At 50.3% G+C, this 7,467-nt stretch overlaps 1 pseudogene across 1 annotated transcript; it reads left to right on the forward strand.

Moving 5' to 3' along the window:
* Positions 1 to 4,572: 4,572 nt before the first annotated feature.
* TFAMP1 (transcription factor A, mitochondrial pseudogene 1) lies at positions 4,573 to 6,795 on the forward strand (annotated as a pseudogene). The gene has a single exon (NR_001288.1). The product of NR_001288.1 is annotated as a transcription factor A, mitochondrial pseudogene 1 (transcript).
* The last annotated feature ends 672 nt before the right edge of the window (positions 6,796 to 7,467 follow it).

Raw genomic sequence — 7,467 nt, forward strand, 5'->3', positions numbered from 1 at the left:
TAAGGTCACAGGTGAGCTCCCCTAGGGAGGGGGAGTGAGTGAGAGGGCAAGAGAGCCTCAAAGTGAACCTCTAGGAGCCCCACAGTTGCGGGCTGGCTCAATCGGGGCTGAGAGAGAAGTCAAGGAGGCAGGAGGAGAAGCGGGGGGCTGGGGAGCTCCGGGAAGAGAGCTTCAAGGGGGAGAAGGTGGGCACCTGTGTCTCAGGTGCCACAGCGCAGCAGGCTTGGCTGGACCTTGGCTGAGTCTGCAGCCTGGCACTGTCTGCCTTCCCCGGCTCCCAGCATGACTTGCAGCTCCTCTTCCCACCACGCCGGCCTGGCACTGGGTCTCCCTTGTGGACCCCACGCACTGGGCTGTCACTGGACTCAGGTTGCCCTGGCTGGTCGTACAGAGCTTGCTGTGCCCAGCCTGGACACCCCCGGAGGTGGCGAGCAGCGGGCATCAGACCTCTCCCGCACCCTTTCGTCTTCCCATGAGTCTGACCACACAGTGCGGGCTGCCCACTCGTGAGCCCCCGGGGGAAGGGCTAACGTTATCTGCATTTTGCACGTGGGGAAAATGAGGCTGAGAAAGGGGTCAGGAGCTGAGGATGGAAAGAGCTAAGATGGGTCTCCAGGAAAGCAGGTTCCCATGCACCGGTCAGCACCCCCCTCCTGCTTCCTGCACCATTCATGAGACCCCTCCATAGGGCTGAGGCCCACCCAGCGAGGGAAACGCCGATGATGAGGGAGGGAGGGACCTCTCAGCGCCCAAGAATGTGACCAGCCTCCCAGGGCGGGGTATCTGCATGGGGACAGGCCTGGGGCCCCCCTGCAGGCCAGACAGAAGGAGCCACTGAGGGCCCAGCTGGCAGACCGCAGCCTGGGGGGTGGGGGCAGCGGGGCGGCGGGGGCAATGGCTCTGAGGGTGGGCGAGGACCAAGTGCCGCCAAGGAGCGATAATGATGGCTTGAGTCAAAGCCGCCCCGCGTCTCGCCCGCGCTGGCATCTCCAGCAGCACCGTGCCAATTAAAGATGAGTTGAGCATATCATTAGTTTCCCAATCGTCAAGAATCTCATTAGGGGAGTCTTAGATCCACCTGAGCAGCTCTGCCGATTGTCCACACTGGAGCTGCCGAGCTGGGGGCAGGGGGAGTTGCTGCGTGTTGATGAGTCGTAGCGGGGTTTTGCCAGGCAGGGCGCTGGATTGAACCGGCCCAGCAGTGCCCAGGGCCTAGGTCTCCTGGCTGACTGGTCAGTGGTCCTCAGCCTGTGTCTCCCTCCTCCAGTGGGGTGATGGGCTAGACTGGTCAGAAATCTACTGGGCGTCAGTTCGGATGCCACATTTCGACCAGACTTGGCTCAGGGGCCATCTCGTCTACCCCATCATTTTATAATGGGAGAAACAGAGGCCCACAGAGGTGGGGGAGCCCCTGGGATACACAGGGGCTGGAAGAGACCCATAGAGCTTGGTCTAATCCAACCCTAAAGCAGATCAGACTCCCATCTCTGTTGTCTCAGCTGAGTGACCATTTCACTTGTGCCTTTTTTTTATTTTGAGACCGAGTCTTGCTCTATTGCCAGGCTGGAGAGCAGTGGTGTGATCTCGGCTCACTGCAACCTCCGCCTCCTGGGTTCAAGCGATTCTCCTGCCTCAGCCTCCCGAGTATCCCAAGTAGCTGGGATTATTGGCATCCGCCACCATGCCTGGCTAATTTTTGTATTTTTAGCAGAGGTGGGGTTTTGCCATGTTGGCCAGGCTGGTCTTGAACTCCTGACCTCAAGCGATCCGCCTACCTCGGCCTCCCAAAGTGCTGGGATTACAGGCGTGAGCCACAATGCCCAGCTGCACCTCGTTTATAACAAAGAGGCCCCACCCTTCCCTTGGCCTCTTGTTCCATCTGTGCCCATCAGGGTCCTTTACTAATGAGTCACAGAGACCTGGCTCAAATTTGCTGAGGCAAGAAAGGAATTTCCTAGAAGTCAGGACTCTGTGGTTTTGCAACAGAAGGAAGGCTCAGAGATCCCAGGACGTCTCCAGCCTCATCCCTGCTGCTCTCAGCACATCTACCTCTGGCCGGGCAGCCTCTTCCTCCTGGGGGGTGGGGATGGGGTTACTGGGGGACAGAGAGCTCCAGAGCCACATGCCATGCCATCTGCCACCGGGCGGGATCTGCGCGTCTTTCTTTAGCCTCAGCTGGGAAAACCCCACGGAAGGACTGTGCATGGCCTGGCTTGGTCAGTTGCTCACCCTGAGTCCATACGGCAGCTTCCATTAGAACTGCCTGGCTGGGGTTTATTCATTCATCTCACGTTCACTAAGACTGGGCTGTGTGTCAGACATTGTTCTGTATCTATCTGGGAGAGGCAGACCATAAACAAGGGAACCAGTAATAAAGATAATTCAGATAGTGATAGGTGCTCTAAAGATGACGAGCAGGCATGCCTGTAATCCCAGCACTTTGGGAGGCTGAGGCGGGTGGATCACGAGGTCAAGAGTTCAAGACCAGTCTGGCCAACATGGTGAAACCCCATCTCTACTAAGAATACAAAAATTAGCCGGGCATGGTGGCATGTGCCTGTAATCCCAGCTACTCAGGAGGATGAGGCAGGAGAATCTCTTGAATCCGGGAGGCGGAGGTTGCAGTGAGCCGAGATCGCGCACCTGCACTCCAGCCTGAGCAACAGAGCAAGACTCCGTCTCGAAAAAGAAAAAAGAAAAGATTATGAGCGGGGTGCTTGAGGGGTGATATTAGCTAGGACGGTCAGTGAGGCCACAGGTAGTTGTGGAGGAAGAACGCTCCGGGCAGAGGGAACAGAGAGTGCAAAGGCCCTGGAGCAGGAACAGGTTTAGTGTGTATCAGAAAGGGGGCCAATGTGGGCTGGGTGCGGCGGCTCACACCTGTAATCCCAGAACTTTGGGAGGCCAAGGCGGTGGATTGCCTGAGCTCAGGAGTTCAACACCAGCCTGGGCTACGTGGTGAAACCCCATCTCTACTAAAATACAACACATTAGCCGGGCTTGGTGACACATGCCTGTAGTCGCAGCTACTCGGGAGGCTAAGGCACGAGAATTGCTTGAATTTGGGAGGCGGATGTTGCAGTGAGCTGAGATCAGGCCACTGCACTCCAGCCTGGGCCACAGAGCAGCAAAACTCTGTCTCAAAAAAAAAAAAAAAAAAAAGAAAAAAGAAAAAGAAAAAGAAAAGAAAGAAAGGTTGGCCCATGTGGCTGTTGGTGCATGATACATTTGAAGCCTGACATTTGAAGTGTCACACACACTTTGTGTGTGTGTGACAGGGTCTTTCTTTGTTACCCAATGTGGAGTGCAGTGGCGTGCTTGTAGATCACTGCAGCCTCAACCTCCTGGGCTGAAGTGATCCTCCTGCCTCAGCCTCCTGAGTAGCTGGGACCACAGGTGCATACCACCACACCCTGCTATTTTTTTTTTTTTTTTTATAGAGATGGGGTCTCACAGTTGCCCGGGCTGGTCTTGAACTCCTGAGCTCAAGTGATCCTCCTTCCTTGGCCTCCCAAAGTGCTGGGATTATAGGTGTGAGCCACTGTGCTTGGCCATCCCTATAAACTTTATACAGTTAATCAGAGGCTGGGCACGGTGGCTCACGCCTGTAATCCCAGCACTTAGGGAGGCCAAAGTGAGCAGATCACTTGAGGTCAGGAGTCCAAGACCAGCCTGTCCAACATGGTGAAACCCCATCTCTACTAAAAATGCAAAATTAGCTGTGCATGGTGGTGGGTGCCTGTAATCCCCGCTGCTAGGGAGGCCCAGGCAGGAGAATTGTTTGAACTTGGGAGGTGGAGGTTGCAGTGAGCCGAGATAGCGCCGTTGCACTCCAGCCTGGGCAACAAGAGTGAAACTCTGTCTCAAAATAATAATAATAATAATAATAATAATAATAATAATAATAATAGTAAAATAAATCAGGGAAGAAGAGGGGGAGCAATGAAAATACACCACGCTTGTGGCAAATTCACCGTCCATCGCTGGGTCCGTTTGCTCTCGGATCCACTTCCTCATAGCTGTTGGGTGCCTATTGTCCTAGAATCATGTAGAATCTAGATTATAGCTCCCTTTAACTACTCTACAGATAACAACTTGAACATCACCAAATGTTTTCACTTTGAGATATTCCTTCAGGTCTGCCCACCAATGAAACAACTGATGCCAGCTGACCCGAAGGACCCCACAAGGAACTGACTCACGAAAGAATGCCGTTTCTACACTCCTCTCACCCCAACCCATCAATGACCCCAGTTACCCAGCCCCTCACCCTCCATGATCCCCTTAAAAACCCCAGTTCAGGGCCAGGCGCGGTGGCTCACGCCTGTAATCCCAGCACGTTGGGAGGCCAAGGTGGGTGGATCACCTGAGGTCAGGAGTTCGAGACCAGCCTGGCCAACATGGCGAAACCCCGTCTCTACTAAAAATACAAAAATTAGCCTGGCATGGTGGCACGCGCCTGAAATCCCAGCTATTCGGGAGGCTGAGGCAGGAGAATCCCTTGAGTCTGGGAGGCGGAAGTTGCAGTGAGCCGAGATCGCGCCACTGCACTCCAGCCTGAATGACATAGTGTCTCGCGAGTGGCAGGCATGATAACAAACTCCGGAGGGTCACAGGCAGGTTCGAGTTGCCATTGCTGGGGTGGTTCTGTCGTGCCAGGAGGCTCTCCGAGACTGGTTCCTGGTCACTGCCTGGTCTGCTGGTGTGAAGCACGTGGGGTGTGCTGAGGGCCCTGGGAAGGTCCTGGCGGAGCTGTGTACCAGCTGTGGAAGTCGACCGCGCTTCCCCTTCAGTTTTATGTATTTATGGAAATGGTTTTCGCCTGTCTTGGCAAGTTATCCAAAGAAACCTGTAACTTCTTACCTTTGATTTTCTAAAGAACAACTACCCATATTTAAAGCTCAGAACCCAGATGCAAAAAATACAGAACTAATTAGAAGAATCGCTGAGCATTGGACGGAACTTCCCAATTCAGAGAAAAAAAATATATGAAGATGCTTATAGGGTGGACTGGCAGGCATACAAAGAAGAGATAAGCAGAATTCAAGAACAGCTAACTCCAAGTCAGATTATGTCTTTGGAAAAAGAAATCATGCAGGAACATTTAAAAAGGAAAGCTTTAATAAAAAAGAGAGTTAACACTGCTTGGAAAACCAAAATGATCTCGTTCAGCTTATAACATTTATGTAGCTGAAAGCTTCCAAGAAGCTAAGGATGGTTCACCGCAGGCAAAGCTGAAGACTGTAAATGAAAACTGGAAAAATCTGTCTGGTTCTCAAAAGAAAGTATATATTCAACTTGCTAAAGATGATAAAATTCATTATTATAATGAAATGAAGTCTTGGGAAGAACAAATGATTGAAGTTGGACGAAAGGATTTTCTACGTCGCAAAATAAAGCAACCACCTTTAAAAGATGGCACTGAGAAGTGTTAGAAGTTCACAATGGATAGGCACAAGAAACCAGCTGGGTCTCAACGCCTGAAGCTATCGTAAAATTAGAAAGGATAAAGTCGGTAAACCTTTTATATTCAATTTCTTTTTCTTCAGGTCATGGACTTCTGCCAGTGTAATACTTGCTTTGGAAAACCCAGATAAAGGTTTATGCAAAATGTATTTTGTGTTTAGGAACTACTGAGGATCAGAGTAATCCATGCAAATGTGAATCATTTTACCTTTGATAAAGGTAAATCAGACTATGAGGTTTTTTTTTACACAGGATCATGACTATGGAAAGAGTATTCTTGTTGCCCTATATTATGGAAGCAGGAGTTTCCTTTTCAAAATTGTTACAAATTGTAGAAGCCACAGTGTTCTGTGATACAATTGTGCATTTTTCAAAAAGCAGCCAGAATTCGTCTAGGTAAATTCCAGTTCCTAGGTATAATTAATATTATATTCAGAGTTGATGGTTATACACATAAGTGATGGCTGGTTTTAGTTGCAACTTTTTATAAAAGGGACTGAGAAATTTATAAACCTTTTTCTCACTTTTTTTCTAAAGTAAAAACTAATAAATTATGTACCAGATCTATGCATATTATTTTATGTTGCATAGGATAAACATTCTAATCTTTAACTTTACATTGCCTAATTATATATTTTAAGATGAAACATTTGTTTTACAGCTTTCCCCCTACCCTTTTTTTTTTTTTTCTGGAGACAGAGTCTCGCCCTGTCGCCCAGGCTGGAGTGCAGTGGTGTGATCTGGGCTCACTGCAACCTCCGCCTCCCAGGTTCCAGCCATTCTCCTGCCTCAGCCTGCCGGGTAGCTGGGACTAAGGCGTGCACCACCGTGCCTGGCTAATTTTTGTATTTTTCAGTAGAGACGGGGTTTCACCATATTGGCCAGGCTGGTCTCAAACTCCTGACCTCGTGATCCTCCTGCCTTGGCCTCCGAAAGTGCTGGGATTACAGGCATGAGCCACCATGCCTGGTGCCTTTCCCTTTTTTTAAGTAAGGAAATATATTTTTTTCTGAATTATTTTCTCTCATGCGAGTATATTGATCCAGAAAGAAAACTTGCATTGTATATATTTTAAAATGAGAAATCTAAAAAAAAGAGAAGTATCCAAAGTCTCTGGAATTTGAAACACTTTGCATAACGTATTAAAGCCTGTATAAGAGACAGCCAACTATGGCCTGTGGACCAAATCCAGCCTGCTGCCTGCTTTCTGTGTCCTGTGAGCTAGGAATTGTGTTTATAATTTTAAATGCTTTGTTTTTAAAGACTTTTATGATACATGAAAATTAACATGAATATTTAGTGTTCATAAATAAAGTTTATTGGAACACAACCAAAAAAAAAAAAAAAACCCAAAACACCCCAGTTCAGAACTCCTTGGGGAGATGGATTTGAGGGTCTCCTCCCATCTCCCTGCTTGGCTCCCAGCGATCCTGAAACTCTTTCTCTGCTGCAAACCCTGCTGCCTCCGCGCATTGGACTGTGACTGCATAACAGGCACTCGAACCTGTGGGCCCACATGCAGCTCTTCCCTCCTGAGTGTGACCTCGGGTGAGCCCTGCGTCCTTGAGGAGCCTCTGTTTCCTCATCTGTGAACTGGGGTCACACCTCCTGCCCTGCAGAGTTGCTGTGACAGTGATGACGTGTGGAGCACCAGCATGGTCTGCCAGCGTGTGGGGCCAGGACAGAACACTTCCCCATTGCTGCTCCCTTGGTGTTTGGGTTCCTGGTCCAGGGCACCTTCCTCCTCCCCCAGCCTGGACCAAGCCCACTCCTGTGTGTGCTTTCAAGTGGACAGGAGGCCCAGGGCAGGGAGGGCAGCCCACGCTTACTTTAAGAATTTCTGACCTCCAGAGACAAGGATGCCAGGACCTCCACTGGGGGCCACCATGGCAAACTTTCCCGCTTTCAGGACACCCCACATGGCCCCCGGGATCTGGCTTTGGGAAGGAAGATGGTGCCTGGATTGCGAAGGCCTTTCAATCTCATGCCCTGCGTCATGGG

The sequence above is a fragment of the Homo sapiens genome, chromosome 7 (assembly GCF_000001405.40).
Source record: "Homo sapiens chromosome 7, GRCh38.p14 Primary Assembly".
NCBI classification, from domain to species: Eukaryota; Metazoa; Chordata; class Mammalia; order Primates; family Hominidae; genus Homo; species Homo sapiens.